At 47.3% G+C, this 23,749-nt stretch overlaps 1 protein-coding gene across 8 annotated transcripts in view, besides 2 other annotated features; it reads right to left on the bottom strand.

Moving 5' to 3' along the window:
- TBXAS1 (thromboxane A synthase 1) overlaps nt 1-23,749 on the bottom strand; it is a 242,052-nt gene that overhangs the window by 42,425 nt on the left and 175,878 nt on the right. For all 8 annotated transcript variants that reach the window (NM_001130966.5, NM_001166254.4, NM_001314028.4 and 5 more), the window contains 3 exons: nt 22,262-22,410; nt 20,105-20,235; nt 15,636-15,950 (listed from right to left, as the gene is read on the bottom strand). In NM_001130966.5, coding sequence (NP_001124438.2) covers nt 15,636-15,950; nt 20,105-20,235; nt 22,262-22,410 — 595 coding nt within the window. The remainder of the gene's footprint in view (nt 1-15,635; nt 15,951-20,104; nt 20,236-22,261; nt 22,411-23,749) is intronic.
- Nucleotides 20,473-20,973: an enhancer, noted in NCBI's record as "H3K4me1 hESC enhancer chr7:139656695-139657195 (GRCh37/hg19 assembly coordinates)". NCBI's record gives its function as "activates a minimal SCP1, AML or CMV promoter by ChIP-STARR-seq in primed H9 embryonic stem cells {active_cell/tissue: H9 hESC(primed)}" and the evidence as "EXISTENCE:reporter gene assay evidence [ECO:0000049][PMID:30033119]".
- Nucleotides 21,905-22,405: an enhancer, noted in NCBI's record as "H3K4me1 hESC enhancer chr7:139655263-139655763 (GRCh37/hg19 assembly coordinates)". NCBI's record gives its function as "activates a minimal SCP1, AML or CMV promoter by ChIP-STARR-seq in naive H9 embryonic stem cells {active_cell/tissue: H9 hESC(naive)}" and the evidence as "EXISTENCE:reporter gene assay evidence [ECO:0000049][PMID:30033119]".

Genomic DNA, 23,749 nt, shown 5'->3' with positions numbered 1-23,749 from the left:
CAGATTTGTTTAACACATAAAAATTATTATGAATAATTATGGCGCTCCATAAATGTTTACTGTTACGATGGTGGTGGTGGTGCTGATAACCATCGGTAGCATCTTTCAGGTCTACAAATCTTTAATTTGCAGCCAGGCTGGGGAATCATCAAATGAGATTTTCAGAGAAAGGGAAAAGGATGGAGGTGGTGGTGGAGGGAGAGGCTCTGCATCCTACCCCACCCCACCCCTGGCAGCCAGAAGCATTTCCTCTTAATTCTGAGACAAGGTGTGGGCCTGTGATGGAACGTCCCTAGGCTTCACGTGCCTTGTCTGTAACATGGAGAAATAGCCCCTCACCCTCTGATATGGTTTGGCTGTGTCCTCACCCAAACCTCGTCTTGAATTTTAACTCCCACAATTCCCTTGTGTTGTGGGAGGAAACTGGTGGGCGGTAATTGAATCATGGGGGCGAGTCTTTCCCGTGCTGTTCTCGTGATAGTGAGTAAGTCTCACGAGATCTGATGGTTTTAAAAAAGGAAGTTTCCCTGCAAAAGCTGTCTCTTTGCCTGCCGCCATCCACGTAAGATGTGACTTGCTCCTCTTTGCCTTCCACCATGATTGTCAGGCCTCCCCAGCCATGTGGAACTGTAAGTCCATGAAACCTCTTTCTTTTGTAAATTGCCCAGTCTCGGGTGTGTCTTTATCAGCAGCGTGAAAACGGACTAATACACCCTCCTAGAGTCGATGCATAGACCAGATGACCTCTTGGGTTTGGGTCTGGTATGATTCTGAGATGATTTCAAACAGGCTTGTCTGCTGAATGTTATCAGAGCAGTCATTTCGTGGGGCTTGCCAGGGATTTGGGTTTTGTTTGTTTGTTTGTTTGTTTTGTATGTTTGTTTTGTTTTTGGCTCTCTGGTTGGGCTGGATCTGACCACAGCATGATCACGGAAAACCCACGACTTCCTGATAATCTGATGAGGGACTTTTCTAAAAAGCAAACAGCAGCTCCAGTAAGGATGTGGAGGTTTATAAAGTCAGTCCTGCCATTGATAATGCAACCCAATGTCACTATGCACATTTGCATCTGTGCCTCATGGGATTCTGGCAACGTTCTTCCTCCTGGCTGCATTTTAGAATCCGCTGGGGCTTCTAAGAAGCCCAGGCCTCACTCCAGACCCACTAAATCGAATCTCCAGGGGCGGAACCCAATCAGCTACAGTTTGTAAAAGTTCTTGAGGACATGGAAACACCCCTGGCTGATCTTGGGCCTTGATTGGCGTGTGGCCTTTGGTCTGACCGGTGGCATGCACAGGAGAAGGCATATACAGGAATTTAAGCTGTTTTAGAGTCTTTTGCTGTCTGAAGTCAGATTCTACCTACAAGAAGGCTGGCGTCTATTTTATAACCCTGAGTTGATTCCCCATTCAAACCAAGGACTGGCTTGCTTCAGTCAGAGAATCTGGGAATTTGGTGAGGGTGGCCGATCCAGTCTCCTTCCAGCTGGGAGTGCAGGGAGAACCTCCCTGATCTTAGGATCTCAGGATGCAGGGCTGTCCCCCGGCTCCCAACCATTTCCCAGGGACTTGTCTCAATGGATATGAATATGGCACTGGGCAGCAGTGAAGAGCTGGCTGGTGACAGCATCAAGCCTGGCCCCTGACAGAGGCCCTGGAGTGGGAGGAGAGTGACTCCTCTGTGCAGAGGTAGCTCTGGCAATGAGCAGAGGGGAGGCCGGGGGCAATCAGGCTGCATGCCAATGTCTCAGGTGCATTTCCCTAACAAGGAAAATGATGAAAATGAACTACAAGGAAATGCAATTCGTGGAAAATCCCAGAGGGATGGAACCCAAAGAGAAAGCCTGGAATGGCTGAAAAGCTTTCTACAAGGAAGGAGACAAGATCATTTACAAATGGAAGTGAGAAAGGCACGAAGCAGAGTGCCTGCTGTGGCAGAAAGCAACCCTGGGTGACGTCTCTGTTTCAGGAATGTTCTTCCCTATGTGGGTTAAGCGTCAGGGAGGTAGGGATGTCAGGGGAGAAGCTGCCCATGCACTCTTCATCTTGTGCCACATGGGCCACGAAGAAAGATAATTCACAAACTCAGAGGATGGACCGTGAAAAGGACATGGCAAGAGGGAGAAAAAGCTCCAACAAACCCAGGACCTTCGAGGGAAACTTATTATCCTCAGGGCTCAGAGCCTGGATGACAGGTCACAGATGATACCTGCAAAGGTGAACCAATGAAGATGCGGGCACTGTGGCGAGGACAGGGCTGCCCTGTCCTCCTGAATGACTGGCATTTTCTCAGTGCTGTGAAGATGCAGTGCAGACACAGCTTCAAGCCTCCCTCCCCAGCAGGCAGCCCTGAAATCCCCTTTATAGAAATGCCAGAGCCACCATTGATCCACTTGGTCAGGCAAGAACAGCAGAGCGCTGAGGAATGGCATCAGAACCATGGAATCATGGAATATTAGAGACAAGGTTGAAAAGAATACAGACTAAGGAGTCGGGAAACGTGAGTGCCAATCCGACCTAGGCCCTGTCCTAGGGTATTATCTTATGTTCTCAAGTTATTTAGCTTGGTTAGTCTTTTGTGTCAACTTTGCTAGGCTATTGTGTGCAGTTATTTAATCAAACATGAATCCCAGGGTTGCTGGGAAGGTCTTCGGTAGATATGGTTAACACTTAAAATCAGCTGACTTTGAGGAGATTATCCTCAATAATATGGGCGTGCCTCATCCAATCGGTTGAAGGCCGTAAGAGCAAAAACTGAGGTTTTCTGGCGAAGAAAGAATTCTGTGTCTAGACTGTTGCATTGACTCCTGCCTGGTTGTCCAAACTGCCAGCCTGCCCTGCAGACTTCACACTTGCCAAACTCCATAAATTACATGAGCCAATTCCTGAAAATGAATGTCTTTCTGTCTCTGTCCTATTAGTTCGGTTCCTCTGGAGATCCCTGACTAATCCAGCCTTTCTTTCCCCACTGATGAAATGGGGATGGTGATAACTCCCACTTCATACAGCCATTGTGAGTATCAAGTTAACTTTTGTTTAGTTTAGGATCTGGCACAGAAACATTCATTTATCATCATCATCATCAATAACAGTGGAGAAGAGGTCTAGTCCAACCTTTTTCTTTTACAGATAAGGAAACTGAGTCACAGAAAGGCGAATGAGAGTAGCTATATGTACGTAATGCTGGCGCTGTTCAAACATTGCACGTGTATTCTTAACTCGTTTAATCTTGGTGACAACCTTATGAGCTACACAATGTTACTATCCCCATTTTACAGACAGAAAAACTAAGGAAGGGATTATGTGAGTGATCCACGTCACATTGCCAGCAGGTGTCAGCTCAGGGGCCCCGTGTGCTCTCATGGCGGGGATGATGCTAGCACCCAGGTCTCGGGGTTCCCTGCCAGGATCTTTCCACCTTCTCGCTTGGTGGGAGGCATATGCTCTTTGGTCAGAGAGAAGTCCAGGTTGGCCCGGTGTGAGGGGAACCATCCCTCAGCACAAGCTTCTTTGCTCTGGTGCCAGCCGAGTGTCCCAGAGAGAGGCAGTGCCTGCCTCTGGTGAGGGGTGAGAACTGCCTTAAGAAGTGGGACTGCAAAAACAGTGACTGACTGGGGGCCGGGATATCTAGCTATGCCATTTTCATGAAAAAGTTGGTTCATTTTAAGGAACCACCCTCCCTCTGGACCTCCCTCCTTTTCAGCCACTTGAACCAGTTACTCATCCAGTTGAAGTTCTTGCCTATAGCCAGGGAGGTGAGGAGTTTATCCCCTTCCTTCCAGTCTTAAATTACTAATTAAAATGTCTTGGAGACTAAGCCCATTGCAAAAATAGCCTGGGTGGCTTTCTAAAGCTTCTTGTTCATAACCAGAGGGAAGTTGATTCTCTTCTCATCTTTATAATAAGGATTCTTTTGCAGGATATCTGTTTTATGCTCCCTACAGCTCTGGCCCCTGTTTGGTCCCAGCAGGGGGAGGCCAGTGGAGTTTAATTACATTCCTCCTATAGGGAACATTCGAGGAATGAGGCTTTGAAAAACAACTTGTGCGACCAAAAGAAAAAAAAATCAAATTAAGTGAGTGAGAAACAGGAATTGCCTTTTGTGTCCTAGCGACCCAATCTAAATATTTAAATTTTAAAGACAGATTTCTAAATGATTAACTTTATAAACCTTCCGCATTGCAATTCACAGGGGAGTCACACCTCCCTTGTGATCTGGAATATTCATACGCCTGGACTAACAGAGTCTGGTAGCTGATATTTTCACACATGCCATATTCAGTTATAAAATACAACCTAAAAAAAAAAAAAAAAGAAAGCTCACCAAACAAACCATAATGCTGTCCACAGTCCTGGGGCAAAACAGACTTTCTGGAAAACCTAGGGTTAAAGGAGTGTCTGGGCCATAAGCACACATTTTGGAAAGGCCCCTTATTCTAGACTCATTTTCCAATTTTCCTTCCTCTCTCGGCTCTGAGATGCCCAGCGATTGGCTATTAGTGGAGTGTGGAAGCAGCCCCCAGGCAGAAGCTATTAATTTGCTGATTTAGTAGGTGCTCAAATACCATGAGCTGACAGAGGAGGCGGACCATAGCAGCGGTAGGGGACATAGGTAGTAAGTTTCTTGTTGTCAGCAGGATTCAAGCCCAGCCTCATGATCTTTCAGATATCTGTCCTGGATGGGAAGCTGCCCTAGATGTCCCCAGAGGTCTCCTCGGAGGCCGAGGGCTGAGGCTCCCTCCTTTTCTTAGCATGATATCTTCTGGGCAATTGCACTGCAATTGTAGGACTATAGGGACTCCAAGTGTTGCCTTCAACCTGCCTCCATCTCCCCACGCAGTGCCTTCTCTCTTTGACTCCACCGACCCCTTTCTCGCTGGGCGCAGTAACTCACAGGCTTTATCTACTGTGCCTCCCTGCTCGTCCCCCCTCAAATCTGTGCTTGGAGTTGGTTTCCAGTTAGAAAAGGAAGAGTGAAATAACTTTTCTCAACACCTATTTCTCACGTGCCAGGCACTGTGCTCGGCCCTGGGACCTACCAAGGTACCCAGCGGACGAGGCTTCCTAGTCGTGGGGTTTACATCCTGGCTGGGACTTGATGATATTCCCCTCCCAAAATGAGTGGTGTGTTAATAACGGATCATGTGTCAAAACAAAGCCAGGGCCTCCCAATGGAAAATTTTAAGCCTAGTGACGAAAAGGTTTTTTGGGGACAAGAAGTCTTTAAATTCCCACCAGATGATACCATTTTGGAGCTTCCACTCCACTGGTGTGAAAGCGACTTTGGTCAACAGAGTCTGGGGAAGTTAAAAAAAAAGTATGTTTATTCTTTTATTTCAAGAGCTAATTGTTGGGAATAAAACCCATTCTTTTGATGTTTTAAGAGCCCATAATGTGTGCAATAGTTAAATAAATGAGCCATTCAGTTGCAAATGTAGCTCCATGCCAAGCAGATGCACAGAAGGTTGAGCTTCACCTGTGGAGCTGACTTTCCCAAGTTTATTTTTCATTCTTGCTTTTCTGGATGGATGTGAACCAACCCCACAAGCTTATTTGCTTAGCAAAGCTTGGTCCCTCTAGAGGCCCAGCTATTGAATATGAAAGACTCTGATTTGCTACATGAAAGACACCACATACATGCTGATTGGTGTGACCCATTCCTGGGAGAGACTTCTCTTTGCAGGTGCCCCTCCCTCTGCTCTGCAGGGACTCAGGGGGAGGGGGACTTGGGGCATTAATTGCTAAAAATTCAAAGTGCTGGAGTGTTGCAGTTGATGAAGCCAGGCAGCCCAGAAAAAAACACCTGCAAGTCTGTCCTGCTCTTCACCCTGCCTCCCCTGTGCCACCCCCATTGCAGGCATGTGGGTCTTGGCTGCTGTGTGCACTTACAGGCTTCTGGGATGACCAGGGGCTCCCAGGGGGCAGTGGGTCAGGAGGTGGAGCAGGAGCAGAGAAGATTCTGGGCCTCTCTGGACCTGGGAATAGAGTCAGAACAAGAATAAGGGAAGAAAGAGGGGAAGGAGATTAAATAGTGCTGTGAACAATGAAGAGAGGAAAGAGGAAAGACAACAGAGAAATGGGGCAGGATGAGAGGGAGAGGGTGGGCAGGGAGAGGCACAGCGGTCTCTAAGCTCCTGGTTGCCACTGCTGAGGCTCCTGGGAGCAGCTCCCAGGCAGAGCGGGTCAGTTTCCCTACGGGTTACTGTGGGCATGGGCTTTGAGTATCTCCAGGGGATGTGGAGGAGTCTGGAGTCCTGAGTAGGGGCAGAGGAAGGTCTTGGCACCCATTTGCAGCCCAGATGACCTCTGGGAGGCACAGCCTGCCTTCCCGCAGGTATCCCCAGGACGGGAACAGGCAGATGGCCGGATCTCTAAGATAAGTTTGTGTGCATAACAATGAAATGGACAGTTAAGATCCGAGGCCCTGCCACCTGATCCAGATCGATTGGTCACCCTGCTTTGGGAACTTGTGACTTGTCCACTGATGGGGCACAGAAGTCCCTAGTATCCTGTGTCCTGGGAGTTGGTGTGTTGGTAGCAGTGACCACAAAACTTAACTTCCAAGATAGGGTTCCAGGTACACACCCAGAGAGGCCCCTCTTCACGGGCTGGGAGGAGGGGCCTTTCTGATATTAGTGGTCAGGATGCAACTTTTCCTCCCTTTGCCTGATATTAGTGCCCTGATATTAGTGGTCGGGATGCTACTTCCCAGGGCCAGATGCTTCCAGAAAGAAGGACAGGAGGTGGGTACCTTGGATACATTTCCAAGGCCCCCTGCTGAAGCTCCTATTCCTCTAGTGGAAATAGCTCAGATTCTGTCCTAGGCCACCAAAGAAATGGCATCAGAGACATGCTCTTTGGCTATAGTTGTTTGGCATGGCCTCCCACCTGGCACCCGAAGCTACTGTCTACAACCAAGGGGCTTAGGGGAGTAGGGAAGCTAAGGGGCTGGGTGGAGCCCCCTGCTTAAAAGGATTGGCCTGAGGGTCCCGTTGGATGTGATAGGTCTCCAGTCTACACACATGTCCTGACAGAAAGCTCAGGTTGCCGTCTTCATCTGCTTTGAAAATGACTTTAAATCACCTCAAAAGCTCCCCCTAACCTCCCACCATGGAAACAATTACTGAAGAAAATAGATGATTTTAGGCTTTATTTAGGATTAATACACTTCTAACATGTATTAGGATTGGCTCATTCCTGCATCACTTCATCTCCCACTCAATAAAGTGAATGCCATCATGATTATGGAATAATCAGGAAACCACTGAGATTTATTAGCAAAAGGTAAACCACTGAAGAACATGAGCACATTAAATGTCATGAGGAATACATACTTGCCATGTCCAGCACACGTGAGAGAGACACAGTACGTATGGTTCAGAACCTGGCTCCTTGTACATAGTGTGGGCCATGGACTGGCTGTATCAGCATCACCTGGGAGCTGGTTAGAAATGCAGACCCTTGGCCGGGCACGGTGGCTCACGCCTGTAATCCCAGCACTTTGGGAGGCCGAGGCGGGCAGATCACCTGAGGTCAGGAGTTCGAGACTAGCCTGTCCAACATGGTGAAACCCTGTCTCTACTAAAAATACAAAAATTAGCTGGGCATGGTGGCGTGAGCCTGTAATCCCAGCTACTCGAGAGGCTGAGGCAGGAGAATCACTTAATCCTGGGAGATGGAGGCTGCAGTGAGCCAAGATCGTGCCACTGCACTCCAGCCTCGGGGACAGTGAGACTCCGTCTCATAAATACAAAATAATAATCACAAAAAAGAAATGCAGACCCTCAGGCTCGTCCCAGACCTGCTGAATCAAAATCTGCAGATTTAGTGACTCCCAGGTGATTCCCGTGCACGTTAAACTTTGTGATGCCCTAACCAAGGGCCGGTGCCACAGCCCGTTGCCACTTTTCTCACGCTGCAGTGACGCTGTTCTTTGTTTTAGATTCAACATTAGGGCTGTAAGGCGTTCTCTGTTTTGCCTCTTCCCTTGTCCCTGTGGCTTTGTGCTCTGTTGTCCTGTTGTGCTGTTGTGGGGTCTGTCAGAAGGCAGAGACTCAGCAGCACCTCTGACCCCTGTGTGGCTGGGGGACTGAATTGATGGGGAACTCCTGAACTTACTCCTCACCAACTGTGGGTAGCCCGACCCCAGCAGACCTGGGCAAAGGGGAGGAAACCTTCCCCATGGGGAAAAACCCATTTCCAGTTTTCTACTTGATCTCAAAGCCAACCATGCCCTCCTCCCTGGGTGAGATCCACATGGGAAGACATTTTTTTTTTCCATAGTGAGGATAGATTTGTGTTAAGCTATTCACTTTTTTTCCTGCTCAACCCTTTCCCTGTGACAAAGGATGTGTATTCATGAAAAAGCTAGTTGGGGGTAAAACGGCTTTTTTTTTTTTTTTTTTTTTTTTTGTAAGCACATAATATGCTTTTTTTTCTTGGAGATCCTCTGACTGCTTCAAGGAACAAATCCTCAACCTTGCTCACACAGCAGCATGAGCTAATAAGCTGAAATAACCAGCACAGAATGTTCTTTTATCCTTAAGAGAAAAAGAAAGAGTAAGTTGTATTTTAATTAGATATTTATAATGGTTACAAAGCAGCTCTTCAAGAGAAGTTTTAAGAATTTGGCCTTCCTTCTAAGGCATAACTGTGTTCAAATTATCCTAAAGAGAGGCTGTATATCAATCCAATCCAGTCTGTGATAAATTTACAACTGGGTTCTGCACAGCAGATTTATAACAACAATTAAGCAGAAGGAAAATGGGTCATAAATTTTGGCTGGCAGAGTCCAGCACCAAAGAGAAGAAAAGAGAATGGTTTAGCCAGATCAAAAGTCAATAATTTCAACATAGAACACTAAAGCTATAGAAGACACAATTTATATGAAAAGAAGTTGGTTTTTTTCCTTTCTCATCCTTTTCAAAATTACATGAGAACACAATGAAGCAGCCATATAACAAAGGTCTCATTAAATAGATGGTGTGGTTTTTTCAGCTTTACGAGTGGTACAAATGGTACAAACCTTTTCCCACCCATCCACTATTGAATTTACTGAACGTACTACCTCCTTTTCCATAGACCAAGGCAACATGGGAAAAGAGAGACTTCTCCAAGAGATTGGGGGACTTGAGAAAGAAGATTTTACACTGAATTTTGATGGTGGGACAAGAGGAGGAGAGGCCAGATAAAATTCCCAAACAAGACGATTTGGAAGAAAACACATGTGGCCCAGAAAGAATCAGTCTGGGGGCATGAATTAAAAAGTGGATTGAAGCCGGGCGCGGTGGCTCACGCCTGTAATTCCAGCACTTTGGGAGGCTGAGGCAGGCGGATCACTTGAGGCCAGGAGTTCAAGACCAGACTGACCAACATGGAAAAATCCCATGTCTACTAAAAATACAAAAATTAGCCAGGCATGGTGGCACACACCTGTAATTCCAGCTACTTGGGAGGCTGAGGCAGGAGAATCACTTGAACCTGGGAAGTGGAGGTTGCAATGAGCCAAGATTGCACCACTGCACACCAGCCTGGGCGACAGAGCAAGACTCTGTCTCAAAAACAAAACAAAACAAAACAAAAACAAACAAAAAAGTGGATTGTAACTGTTTTAGAAGCTGGAACCAAAATCTATACCCTGAAAGGAGAATGCAGTCAAGGCTGTATGGGATGAGAGATGGGATGTTGCCAGACAGGATGTGCGGAGGCAGATCCCCGATAGTGAGGGAGACCTTTGAGTATCTTTATATGCGCCAGGGGTTTAGAACTGCTAACAGTAGAGAATCTGAATTATTGACTTTCATGCCTGACATTTTCACTTCTCAAATGGTGAAGGATGCAATAAGGCAAAACTGCTGAGCTGGACCGACTGGTCCTGCAGAAATCACAGGGAACTTGGGATGATTTGCAAGAAACAGGCAAGAGCAGGCTGTTCCAGGCACTGCCGGACTTATACCTTCTAATTTGGCAAGCTGGATTTTAAAAGTTCAGAGGGAAGGTGAACATGATCACATAACAGGAAATTGAGAGGTGGGAACTTCTAATCTGGGGGCCACAGATTCTATGTACAGGGGTGGGCAAACACACTGTTTCCTGGCTACCCAGAAGCCATTTACCCCACTTTTAATAAGAGTGATTTGGGGATCAACCTCTCCTCCGCTCGAGAGCTCAGTGGTTTGGGTAAGGCCTCACCTAGACACCAACTCCAAGGATGGGGCACATGACCCAAGTCTAAGCCAATCAGGGGATCATATTCCTCTGGGGTCCAAAGATTGGTTGAGGGGGCAGGTGCATGACCCTCTCGAAGTCACTGGGATGCCAGGAGGCTTTTGCTGAGACTTGCAGGAAAGAGACTCTTGCTTCTTCCCGTTGAACTTGAACCTACTCTCTCCTACCCCCATCCTCAGCCTATAAAGACATTAGAGGGATTTAAAGAAAACTTAGAGCAAGGAGTCATTGGCCTAGGGAAGAGGGTCCTCCCTACTCCCAAGCCAAGGAAGAGGGTCTTCAGCAGAGCCACTCATAGAGGTGGGCCATTCTCCTTGGCCATCTGCTCATGCAGCAGAATTGCTGATGTGCCCTCTCTGCCTATTTGAGCAAAGGAAAAGTACTTGGAGAGACATGACAGGGTGGAGGGAGGAAGGAGAGGGCAGAAGGTGGCCACTGTGGGTGTGGCCCAGTTGTGTGTTTCCCATAGGCTGGGCGGACACTGGGGAAGGCATGGAAGCTGGAGCCATCTAGCTGGTATCCTGCTCAAGATTCCCCATCAAGCAGCCTTGGGGCAGGAGCTGGTGGCAGGAGCTGGAGCCTGTCTCCCTGGCAGGGAATTATGCAGTGAGGACTTCAGACCTGGGAGCCCTCCGAATACGTCTTGCATCTACCCCACGTCAGAAGCCCCGCAGGGAAGGCACTGAGGGCAGCTCCAGGTAGGCAGGATTTGGGGATCCGTTCACAGGCCCCACTCCTGGAGGAGAAAGGGGCCCAGCAGGGGTGGGGGAGGGGTAGAAGGAGGGGAAAAAACAGACCTCTCCTCCCGCAGGGCGGCATCCTCAGGCCACAGGTCAGCCTGAGCTAAGAGAACAGAAGGGCACTGATTGGATTTGAGCCTGAAGTTTTCATCTGGGCCAGACTGGCCTGGACTTTTTAATGCCCCCCAAAATGACCAGAAATCATTGAGATCTGTCCAAAGTATCATCACGGACAGGGAAAGGAGATTCATCAGAGCACATTTAAGGGAAAAAAATGAAACAAAAAACACCAAATGGTTTCAAGTTGGTACCTCACTGAGTTGAGACTGTTCAAAACACTGGTTACACAGCTGGCTTGAGACCCCTAGGGAAGATGTGCCTGAGAAGGGAGTGTGCCCAGAGAAACCGGAGCTGAGAAATGGGGAGAGAGAACAACTTGGACAGGGCTTGAGCCCCTGAATCAAGCCATACCTGAAGGCAGCTCTGCCCTCTGGAGTTTTCAGTTATAGGGGTCAGTAAACTCCCTGAGACAATCTGGGCTGAGTTTTTTTTATCACTGTCCACAGAAGAGTCTGAACTGATGCCATGCACATATCTGCTCTTTCTTGGAGGAAGAGATGTAGCTCTCATCAGATTCCCATGGTGCATTGCTATGAAAGAAATTGCTCAGGGAAAAGAAACTCTAGAGCTCAAATTAAGCAATCTCATTGACAAATACAAGGGAAGGCCATCTAATGAGGCATGGGGATGCTCTACAGGGATGTCACAGAAGAGCTAGACCAGAACACCCTCGTGCGTAGGGCTGGAGCCCCGGAGTCTGGCATTAACTGGCACTCAAGAAATATTTGTTGAATGGAAACCAGCAGGAAAATTATAACAAGTCATACTTTACATGCAAATTTTCAGGAATATTTTCAGGAAAATATCTAATGTGTGAACATCTAATCTGCATTTCCATGTCCTGACAGATGGCCCATATTAACAGAGCTCTGATTATAGTAAAAAAAAAAAAAATTAAAAAAATAAAAGAAGGAAAGAAAGAAAAGAAAAAAAGAAAACCTACCAATATTCATTGAGTGGGTGCCATGTGCAAGGCTATGCAAAGCAACATTATTGTGACTACCAAATGTATGTTTTTAAAAAGACAGCTGTAGATATTCCCATTTTTCAGAGACTCCCCCCCACAACCAGCTATCACATAGGGGAAGAAAATCACCTTGTGGCTTGCATGGCTTAGGAGGGCTTTGGACCCTGATTTTTTTTCTTGGAAGAGGGATCCGAGCCCTTGAGAGTCTAAGGCTGTCTTCTCAAAGTGGAACCAGGGACCACCTGCATCAGAATCACTGGAAACATTTATTTAAAACGTGGGTTCCTTAGGCGGCGGAGTTTGCTGTGAGCCAAGATTGTGCCACTGCACTCCAGCCTGGATGACAGAGCGAGACTCCATCTCAAAAAATAAAATAAAATAAAATGCGGGTTCCTGGGTCCCAGCCCAGACTTATGGAATCGGAACCCCTGAGGTCAGGACCCTGGAAAGTGCATTCTAAGCAGTCTTCCTATATACTTTTATGCACACTAAACTCAAAAATTTGACCTGCTGTAATGTGTTTATTTGACCAAGGGGTCTCAGTGCTTTGCAACAGTCTGTACAGCCCCATAATAACATGTGGTCCTTTTTTTTTTTGAGACGGAGTTTCTTTCTTATTGCCCAGGCTGGAGGGCAATGGCACAATCTTTGCTCACTGCAACCTCCGCCTCCCTGCTTCAAGTGATTCTCCTGCCTCAGCCTCCCGAGTAGCTGGGATTACAGGCATGTGCCACCACACCCAGCTAATTTTGTAGTTTTAGTAGAGATGGAGTTTTACTGTGTTGGTCAGGCTGGTCTTGAACTCCTGACCTCAGGTGATCCACCCACCTCGGCCTCCCAAAGTGCTGGGATGAGCCACTGGCATGAGCCACTGTGCCTGGCCTAACATGAGCACTTGCTGTGTCCTCCTGGCAGACTGACATAACTGGATGTGACTATGGTTATAGCTGGTGGGACAGACTCCTATCGCCCCATGGCTCTCTAAATGACATCACACATTCTAGACCTGATTATCTTCTGCCTTCTACTGCCCTGCAGGCCTGTGTTTGGAAGGAAAATATTGTTTCATAGACATAACATTGCTTCTCAATTGGCGATGGAATTCCCGCAAGATGAGGACCTGACTTCTATCTCTTAGAGCTTCTGCCCCCTCTCCTAGCCTCTGCTGTGTCTACTAAACTGCTGGACACTCATTAGATGCTTCAAAGCCCTTAATTTGGTGTGATTTCTGGTTTACTGAGACCAGAGCGCTGGGCTTCCCTCTAATGCCTTCCTGGGACAGCATGCTAAGCTTCCCTTGAGAAGTCACCTTCCCAAGTTCTCAGTCATGTGACTTGAGCATGATTGACTGAGGGCTAGAGTCTGATTGGTGTAAGCCTATCAGGGACCCCATTCCCCTTGCTTCAAGAGTTGGTTCAAGAATGGGCAGCAGGCCAATCGTGGTGGCTTACGCCTGTAATCCCAGCACTTTGGGAGGCCGAGGCAGGCGGATCACCTGAGGTTGGGAGTTCGAGACCAGCCTGACCAACGTGGTGAAACCCCGTATCTACTAAAAATACAAAATTAGCCAGTTGTGGTGGTGAATGTCTGTAATGCCAGCAACTCGGGAGGCTGAGGCAGGAGAATTGCTTGAACCTGGGAGGTGTGGGTTGCAGTGAGCCAGGATTGTGCCATTGCACTCCAGCCTCGGCAACAAGAGTGAAACTTCATCTCAAAAAAAAAATAAAAAAGAATGGGCAGCGACCTAAGCATTCCCGTCAGAGTGACCCTCATGACTCTTTCTGGGAATTTTAGGCCACAGACCCTCTCTTCTCCATTGGTTACAAGCAAGGAAGTATGGAGTCCCAGACACTCTTGACAGGCTTCTTGGGGCTTTGAGAGGAGAGCATGATGGAGGATGGGGCCAATATAAGAGAGCACAGCCAAGAACTGGCGAGAGAGAAACGGACCTGTGCACCAGTTTGAGACCTAGACAAAGATTTGCCTGGAGCCACATCTATTCCTGAGCTGCTCAATTAAATGTACTCAGAAATACACATTTATGAGTCTTTTTGTTTGTTTTTACTTTTTGTTTTTGTTTTGCTTAAATCAGTTGGGTTGGGGTTCTGTTATCTGCAACTAAATGTATCCTAATAGATTGCCTCGCTTCCAGCTCCTTTTACTTCTTTTGCACTAATGCACCCCAGTCACCGTTGGTCCCTCCCTCTACCCTTTCCTCAATTTAAGAACAAATACACAAACCACTACATATAAAACAGAATAAGATGGGTGGCAGGGTTATTTGGATTCATGGCTTGTTGAGATTCCATGCCCAAAGAATATTGATTAATGGATCAATGTCAATCTGGAGGGAAGTCCTGTCCTGTTCAACATTTTAATCAATGACTTGGATGAAATAGGAGACATGCTTAATAAGTCTCAGATGACACGAGGCTGGAGGAATTGCTAATATAACAGATGGCAGAATCAAGATTCAAAATTATTTTGACTGACTTGAACAGTAATAAGGATAAATATAAACTCTTCCGTCTAGGCTCAATAAATCAATTGTGTAAGCAGGGTTTGGAAAGGCCCAGCTTGGCAGTTGTCATAACTACTTAGAACTTGAAGTTGACCATAAACTCATGTTGAGCCTAAAGTTAAGACAATTAATTAGTAACACAGTGAATGCAGTTTTCAAATATTTAAAAACTGCTGTGAAGAAGAGACATTGACTTTGCCTTTACTTCCCCAGTAGAATAAAGAAGTAGAATTTCCCGGGAAGTGGTTTTCAGTTCATTGTATGAAACATTTTTTAATGGTTCCAGTAACAGAACAGACCACCTTTCAAAATGGTGAATGTAATAGCAATCATATCAGAATGTAACAGAAAGGATTCCACTGTGGTGGTCTTCCTTTTAAAGTACAGATTTTAAAAATGAATCTCTTTGACAACTCATGAGTCAAAGTTATACACACACAAGCATCTAGAAGAAAAAATGAGGTGATAAAGTAGCCTTGCTCAGCACCCTCGTTATATCTGCTATAAACGATCAAGAGGGGCCTCATCTAGAAGAAAATGCCCTGAAGCTGGCCTGGGCGCTGACGGGCCCCATCTTCCCTTATTCCATTTGTGAGCCTCCTCCTCAGCTTCCAGTCTTCAGTCCAGCTTCAGCTTGGCCTGTCCTTTTGTCCACTCCTGCCTTCTATCTTGGCTCTCCTTTCTGGCTCACACCTGCCTCCCTCCGTGTGGCAGCTCCAAGTCAGATATTGGGAAGCCATGACTCCTTCCCCATCCCTGCCCTTTGGGCCTGACACCTTCCTGGGCTTCCACAGCTTCCTCGAGCCAGGCCTGGCTTCATGGACTACCCCAGACAGTGAAGGTGCACACACAATTTGTCTTTTTGTTGTGGTTATTGTTCTCAACATTTCATTTCGCTTGCTAACCCGGAGAGCAGGAGAAGCCAAGCAATGACCCTATTTCATCTTATAAGCTTAGAATGTGATATTAGCAAGTCATTAAAAATAAGTTTCACTCCCACAAACACAAAATCAATTGTCCTATGGATATCCCATGGGTAACTGGATCCAACTTGTACTCACGTGTTTCTCCTTAAAAACGTCTACCTCTCTCAGAAGCTTCTCTTGGCAGTCAGGGTTGGTGGCCAGTAGGTAGGTGGCAAAAGAAAGTGTGTTGGTGATGATTTCATAGCCAGCGATGAGGAAGATGAAGGCCTGGCCCACAATCTCATCCACAGTCAAAGGCCTGGCCATAGGGCTGGGCTGGTGTTGCCGGGAAGGGTTCGGCTTGCACCCAGTAGAGGAGAAAACGTCTCTGACGATGTCAAAGTCTTGCACGCCCATGGGACTTGCAGAATGTCGGGCATCCAGGACCATTTGGAGGAAGTCTCTCCGCCTCTAAGGAACAAAAGGAGAAAAATGCACATTTTGACCTTACAGTCATGAAGAGTGAGGCTTCCTGGAGAACAAAGGAGGAAGATACATGGGCATAGCTTTTGAAGAGCTCAGTAGCAACAAGCTTCCTCATTGCTGGGTTATCTGGGACGGTGAGAACCTGGAAGCCACCTGAATGTCCCTTAGTATAGCACTGGTCAGGCAGGTTCTGGGGCAGTGAAGAGCAGCCTGGGCTGCTGCCCTGAGCAAGGCAGAGGCCATTCTATCTGGGCTGATGTGAAAGTCATTGAGCCACTTTGTTAAGTAAAAACAAAGCCGGTCATGGAACAGTATGCACTGTGGCTCTCGTTTCTGCAAAAACAGCAAATGTACTAAATATATCATCACCTATATCTGTCTACACATAGACGATTTTAGCAATGTCCCCACCCAACAGTTCATAATGAGCTGGAGGAGGTGGGAAAACCAGGAGGGGGGCTTTTATTTTTTACTTTATACATTTTTGTACTGTTGGTTGGTGGTTGGTTTTCCAACAATAAAACAATGGCAACATCACATAGATAGATTTAAAACCAAGCATGTGCTGTACTGCTCACTTCTGTGCAGCTTAGGGCTTAGATGGGCAGCCACCAGTTTTTCTCACACAGTAGGAAGTTAACAGAAGTGAGGGCAAGGCGAGGGGACTAGTTTGGCGGCGCCTGTCTTCAAAGTCTCCAGGCTTTGCCTTCTTCATCCCCTAGCCTTCATATCAGATCTTCACATCGGTTCCCTCTATTTCTCAGTAATCCCCTGCCCCCGTTTAAGTAGTCAGAGCTTTTTTTCCATTTCCCCCTACCTTCTTTATCAGTCATTTGCATATTCTTTATATTTTCACTATTACTAATTGTAACAATAGGAGTGTTTCTATATCGCCTCTGTGTTAACAAAGCTTATTCCTAGAACATCCCTTCTTTGAAATGCTCTTTAATGTCATGAAGGACAACCAAGACATTTCCATTTTCTGAAGTTTATGGGACTAAAATGGCAAAAGGAGAGTATCAGAATCACCAACAGAAAAATATTAGAATTTCATGCAAAGTACTCTGCTAGCTGCAGCATTTTCTCAGTTCACTGGCTTCTGAATTTCGATTGCATTAATAATCTATGCCACACACATGAGCGTCTGATTTCATCTTTTTTTTTTTTTTTTGCTCTGTCACCCAGGCTGGAGTACAATGGTGTGATCTTGGCTCACTGCAACCTCCACCTCCCAGGTTCAAGTGATCTTCCTGCCTCAGCCTCCTGAGTAGCTGGGACTATAGGCATGTGCCACCACACCCGGCTAATTTTTGTATCTTTAGTAGAGGCGGGGTTTCACCATGTTGGTCAGGCTGGTCTCGAACTCCTGACTTCAGGTGATCCGCCCGCCTCAGCCTCCTGATGATTCCATCTTTTAAGATTGTTGTCATTTCATGTGTGGTTGCTTTTCCTCCTCCATAAGATTATAAGCAACTCCAGGGCAGGACCCCACCCTCAACCCCTGACACCGTGCCTAGTTTTATGCTGAGCACATGTTAAATCTGCAGTCCATGACTCAACAGATAAAAATGTAATGCAGTGCGTGCATTTGGAGGATGGGTATGCTGAGTTTGATGACAAGTGAATGCTCTTTAGAGCGGGAGTCTTGGCTGCTGACACCTTTGCAGCTCTACTGCACCCCAGCCTTGTGACTTTGGAAGGTGCCTACTGGGATCCTAGCAGTGCTCAAGGTTAAGACTATGGGTGCCACAGACCTTGAGTCTAAGGAAGCAAGGCCTCAGCTTCCCAACAGCCTGCTGGGTTGTAATAGCTGAGAAAATGGTGAGGGTCGGGGGTAGTTGGTGGCTTCATTCCACCCTGGCCCTGCTCGTTCTGATTTTCAAACAGCATCCTCAAGGGCTGGCTTTCCCCAGCTTCCTTCCTGCTGCTCGGTCAATGGGCGCTGGTGTGGTCCCACTGCTGGCCCTGCTCCCATGGAGCAGAGCTGGGGCAGGGTCAGGCAAGATGGCACGCAGGGGAAGTGAGCATCCCTTGCTCCCTCAGCTCTGGGACACCAGCACAGGACCCCAGAGCACCCCCAGACCTCTCAGTCAGTCCCTCTGAAGGTCCTCAGGGTGTGATATCATTGTGGTCCCTGAGGCTTGGCTATGGCTTTGCTGAGGTAGTGTAGGAGTAATGATGGGAGGGAGGGCACAGCCACCTCTACACCGGGTATTTTTCCATGGGCAAAACTGCAGCCAGCATCCTTTCCTCTTATCCCAGCCCAGACAGACTGCTAAAGGGCTGTCAGAATCTTGCAGAAATCTGTCTTAACCTCCAGCTACAGAGGCCAGAGGAAAGGCCACTCTCCAGGGCCCGTGCACTGGAGAAGAACATTAGTATAGATGGGTTTCTTTTATTCACATGGCATCAGGGAGGCTATCTGAACACTGCCCATTGAGGACTGAAACGGTGCTGGTTTATGGTCCTATCCAAGGAAAATACGCACCCTGATAGATGTAGGTGTCTAATCCACCCATCGGCTAGAGCTTAGAAAAATATTTACCTTTTAACATCTGTGCCGCATTTTCACTGCGCAAACACACATCTGCTTGATGGAATGTATACAGACTTTAGATGGTTTTAAAGCAAGTTTTCTTAGTAACCGTATAGCTCTGTCTTGACATGGCTGTCCTGGATTTGTGGTTGGGAGATTTTTCTCAGATCAACTCATTGTTTGAAACAAATAGCACTAGAGTTTATAAAAGGAAAAGCTCTAGGCAATCCCAGTAATTGGATCTTTAATAACCTCTCACCTCTTAGTAAGTCATTCGATGCAACAGTTTTAAAATTTTTAGCCTGATTCCACAGCCAGGCTAGGGATGCGTGTGTGTGTGTGTGTGTGTGTGTGTGTGTGAACACTCTCAAAAGGTGGCCCTTAGTAGCAATGTTGAGGGTTGAAAATGGTTCTTTCTTTATCCCTTCTCCCCCTGGCTCCAGCCTCACTCTGCGGAGAAACATGAACCTGGATCAGAATGTTCTGTCCTTTTAGGCTTCAGAGCTGGGGCAGGGATGCCAGTTAGCTGCTTCTTCCCGCACCTCCAAGGACATGCGAGTTGAGTTCACAGTGGTGTGGGCCGAGGGGGCTGCAAGCTTGCCTACACCTTCCCATGCCTTCTGGATCTAGACACGTTTGCTGCACAGTTCTCCGGGCGTGAAGCTGCACAGGACGCGGCTGCTGCCCAAGGCCGCTCGGTGTATCAAGCCACTAATTGACCCCTGATTTCATTTCAGGCCAGTGCCTTAACAATTGGCCCTCACCAATTCCTCTGAGCCATCCAGTCTTTGAGACAACCCTTTTAAAGTTGCATCTTGCACGAGCCAGCTAAGGAAAGGCCATTTCAGCCCTGTTTTCCTTTTTAGTAACTTTCTTTAATGTGACAAGGGCTTTAAAGCCCAGATTTACATATGCATATGCATATCCAGTATTGAAATGACCTTTCTTCCCACTGAAAACTCCTCTTTCTATTTTAGCCAAGTTCAATCAACAAATATTTACTTGATTCCTACTATGTGCCAAGCATAGTGCAAATCTGCAAGGAGGAAAGAAAATGCTACGTCTCATATGAATCGTGCCAAGGAGTCCAGGGGGCCCTCAACCACGAGTTCTGTAGCGACATCCTCCATGCTGAGTGGGAGTGTGGGGTTAGTGACTGACAGTTGCCGAACTCTCTAATAAGCATGCTGTTCATGCTGGAGAACTCCATCTTGCTGGGTTTTCAATATAAAGAATATGCTCATGAAAATTGCATGTGGGCACACTTACCCAGAAAATTCTTCTGGGCTATTCTAACCTGTGCTTGGGTTGATGCTTGCACTAGGGAGACAGTTTTGGGGGCGGCTTTAATTCTACCCGTCCGTGTCCGAGGATGTACACATTGCTGTAGGCTTCTCTCTGCCGTCCCACCCTCCCTTTCTTGTCTGACCTTCCTCAACCTTCCTCTGTTCTCTCCACTGTCCCTGGAAGCTGTAAGTGGTGGGTTGCTGAAGGACGGCACGGTGTGATGTGCGGGGCTGAGAGGGAAGAGAAAGAGCAGAGACAGTGATGCCAAAGTCGGCTCCATTCCATTTCAAGGCTGTGTCCTATTAAAATACGTTACCTCTTCGGCAGCTTGCTGGTCCCGCAAGGCAATCACATTCCTAATGAGTTTGTTAAAAAAGCCATTCAGTTCGTCTCGGTTCTTATTGGGCAAAATCCGGGCCAGTGGGACCATTATGGATGGAAATGATACTTGAAAGAGAAAAACAAAAGTGGCATTGAAAAGGGGGTGATAATAAACCAGGGCCATTAGACGCCTGTTCCCGGGAAGCAAACGCGGGCCTGGAATCGGAGCCGTTTTGGAGTCCTGCCCTCCCCGCCGCACTGCTGCTTCTGAGAGCAGGGGTGATGTCTCACTCCCTCTCGGTACTCCTCACCATTCCTGGCACATAGTAAGCACTCAATAAACATCTGTGCAATTAATCGAGTCTGCACTTCCATCTGGCCCTCAAGAGGTCAAGGTCACCCTCATAAATTAATGTTTCAGGTCCTGGGGATGAGACCTGAAGGTCTTTGTACTTCATTAAGAGAGAAAGGATTACAGGCTGTTTCAAGCCTTAGCAAGTGGTAGAAGCTGATTTACTTTTTACAAACTTTCTGGTCATTTGAATTTTCTTTCCAGTGGATAATTGTTCCCAGCATGACCTCCTGAATTGCTCCCAAGAGCTGCCACTGCAGCTGCTGACAAGGGTACTGGCTGTTGCTGCTGTGGGTGCCTCCCTTGCCGGCCCCTGGGTGCAGCATGGGCCCTTGCTGCCATGTGCTGGGGATCGGGCTGCCAGAGTCAGGAACCCCTCATCTCCCCTGGAGAGGGGCACTGGCTGGGTTCAGCTTCTCAGCTTCCATTGTGGGTTCACCCTGTACCGGGCTCTATGGGAGCTGGGCTGGGGAGAACATCTCCAGACACACATGCTCTCAGAATGCGCAGGCCCATTTTCAAGAGCCAGAGTCCGAACCAATGTGACACAGCAGCAGGAGGGCCCTGCAGAGGCAGAGAGGAGAAATAGAAGGGATGGCACAACTGAGCCACCTGCCCCACAGGCCTGGGCCGTGGTTGAGGCACAAGGGGCAGACACAGCCTGCGCTGCCTCCAAGATCGGTGGAAAGGGTGCAGGAAGAGACTGCTGGACACTCAGAGTGACTCTGCCTACGATTTCAGGGCGGAGCCAGTGAGGTGACGGGCTCCCATGGACATCGGCTCAGAAACGGGAATGAAACTGGTCAAGGAATGAATGGAATTTACCAGCCCAGCAGAATGGTTAGAAATCATGGCAATAATCAATACCAAGCATAACAACACGTCAATGCTCCTATAAAAGCAAGAAGATACTAGAATTGGCCAGAGGGCAAAATCTCACTTCTACAATAAAAATAAAATAAGTCCTGGTGTGGTGGCTCACGCTTGTAATCCCAGCACTTTGGGAGGCCAAGGTGGGCGGATCACCTGAGGTCGGGAGTTTGAGACCAGCCTGACCGACATGGAGAAACCCCTTCTCTACTAAAAATACAAAATTAGCTGGTCGTGATGGTGCATGCCTGTAATCCCAGCTACTCAGGAGGCTGAGGCAGGAGAATCGCTTGAACCCAGGAGGCGGAGGTTGCGGTGAGCCGAGATCGTGCCATTGCACTCCAGCCTGGACAACAACAGCGAAACTCCATCTAAAAAAATAATAATAATAATAAATAAAATAAAATAAATAGACTGGTCCTCGTGCATTGGGTGACCTAATCCTCATCCACCACACAGGATTTCTGTGTGTTGGGCTTCAAGTGGAGAAGTCTTGTGAAGAGGATTTTGCTGAAGGAAAGAAATATGCCCTAGGAAATGAAAGGCTTTGGGTTCCAGTCTCAGCTCGGCCTTTCTAGGCCTGTTTCACACCTGAGAAATAGGGACAAGAATATTTTTCTCATAGGGTGAGTACTAGGACTAAGTGAGGCAACGCACACCCCGTGCCTAACACGGTGCGTCCCAACCGTTCTCACCATGGCGGTGGGGCCACTTATTACCAATGCCAGGGCTACAGCATTGCTAATAAGTGGCCCTAGGCGGGTGACAAGAGGAACCCGGTGGCTCCATAAGACAAAGCCTCTGCAGGGGAACAACCCGAGTGCCCTTTCCCAGTGGCAGGGACAGAGCCCCAGAAGCCACCCCAGGTGTCATGGGGTCTGCCCAACTTGCTGGAGTCATCGCAGCGCCCCGGGCTGCAGCCGCACTTACAGAGTAAAACCAGGATAGGTCTGGGGATGCAGAATTCGAAGAAACGCTTGCAGTGTTTCACAAAGGGATCCTCAGGGGCCTGCCAGGAGTCCACCGGGGTGCCAAAGGCGACGCTGGCAACCACATCTGTGGTGTAATTGCAGTAGCACCTACGGGAGATGGGAGCACAGAGATCTGAAAGGACTCTGGCAGGGGCTACCCACAATGGCCCCCTCCAGAGGAGGAGGGCCTGAATTGCTTACACTGGCTTGCCCAGCCCTGCAGATGTGTCTGGAAGAGGAGCTTCTGCAGATCTGGGGGGAGGTGGAGGGAGATGGGCTCCTGGATGGGGCACTCTGAGCAGTGACGGCAGAGGGTGGGAGGAGACACGAAGACCTGGCGTCTAAACAAAGACCTGGGAGGAGAGGAGGGCACAGCCTCTTCCACCTTCGAGCCTCAGGCAGCTGTGGTCAACCAGAACACAGCCAGGTACTAAGAAGGACACTTTATAGTTTCCTCCCTGGGAAGGAGGGCACACAGGTGACCCAACGCCTACATGCTGTACCCAAAGCTCTGCACAGCCCAGCTCAGGCCAGAATCTAATGATTGACTGATAGACATCAAATTGTCCTTGATGAATTAACAACCTAATTATCTAGTTTTATTAACTTTGTCTCCCTCTTCCTCTTAATGATTTTACAGTTTTCTTAATAGCAATGAACAAAAAGCAAGGGCTCTTAGCACTCAAATAAACACAAGACAAACTTTAAGGCAGGCTTCATGAACATCTGTATATTATTACAGAAAACATACATTGTGCTTTAGAAACAAACAGAAGGAAAAGTGTCTGGCAGGAGCTCCAGAAAATTTAACCTCTTAGGCTATAGGAAAGCTGCCCCCTCAAAAGGCCATTTTAAACTCAAATGATTCTTTTTGTTATCTTATAGGAGTAGTCAGATTAAGTTCTTTTCCAAAAAGCTAAAAACTGGGTTATTAATATCTTTTTATAATTAAAAGGCCAATTTTTGTTCTCAATGTAGGCACACACTTAACTCCTTTTGTACATGAATTCTATAACCACTAACTTATCATTAAGGAATACATGACGTTTCCAGATGACTTTTAAAATTCACACTGCTTTTATTGAAAACGTTTCTACAACTGATTACACGTTTCCCTGCTAGAGTGAAAACAAGAATGAGACTACTGAATGTGATTTCATCTGATCCTGAAGGTTGAAGATTTAAGGGTCTTGAGGGTTATTTACTTTGCTTTTATAGCTGATGAGGCCACCTTATCTTTAGCCAACTCATGCATCCTATAATAATCAGAGACAATGTGGATGAAAAGACTGTGTAAACTGGTGCAATACCAGTGTTGGTGATGATTATGTTATTATTTTATTAGCAATGATAATAATGAATAAATTTCTGGATGATTCACCATCCCACTTTATTCTTTATCTGCTGTAAGCCATGATTTGGCATAAAATGACTAAAGCAAAGGTGG

The sequence above is a fragment of the Homo sapiens genome, chromosome 7 (assembly GCF_000001405.40).
Source record: "Homo sapiens chromosome 7, GRCh38.p14 Primary Assembly".
Lineage (NCBI taxonomy): Eukaryota > Metazoa > Chordata > Mammalia > Primates > Hominidae > Homo > Homo sapiens.
Note: the sequence above shows the minus strand (reverse complement) of the source record. Positions and strands in the feature narration are given on the sequence as shown.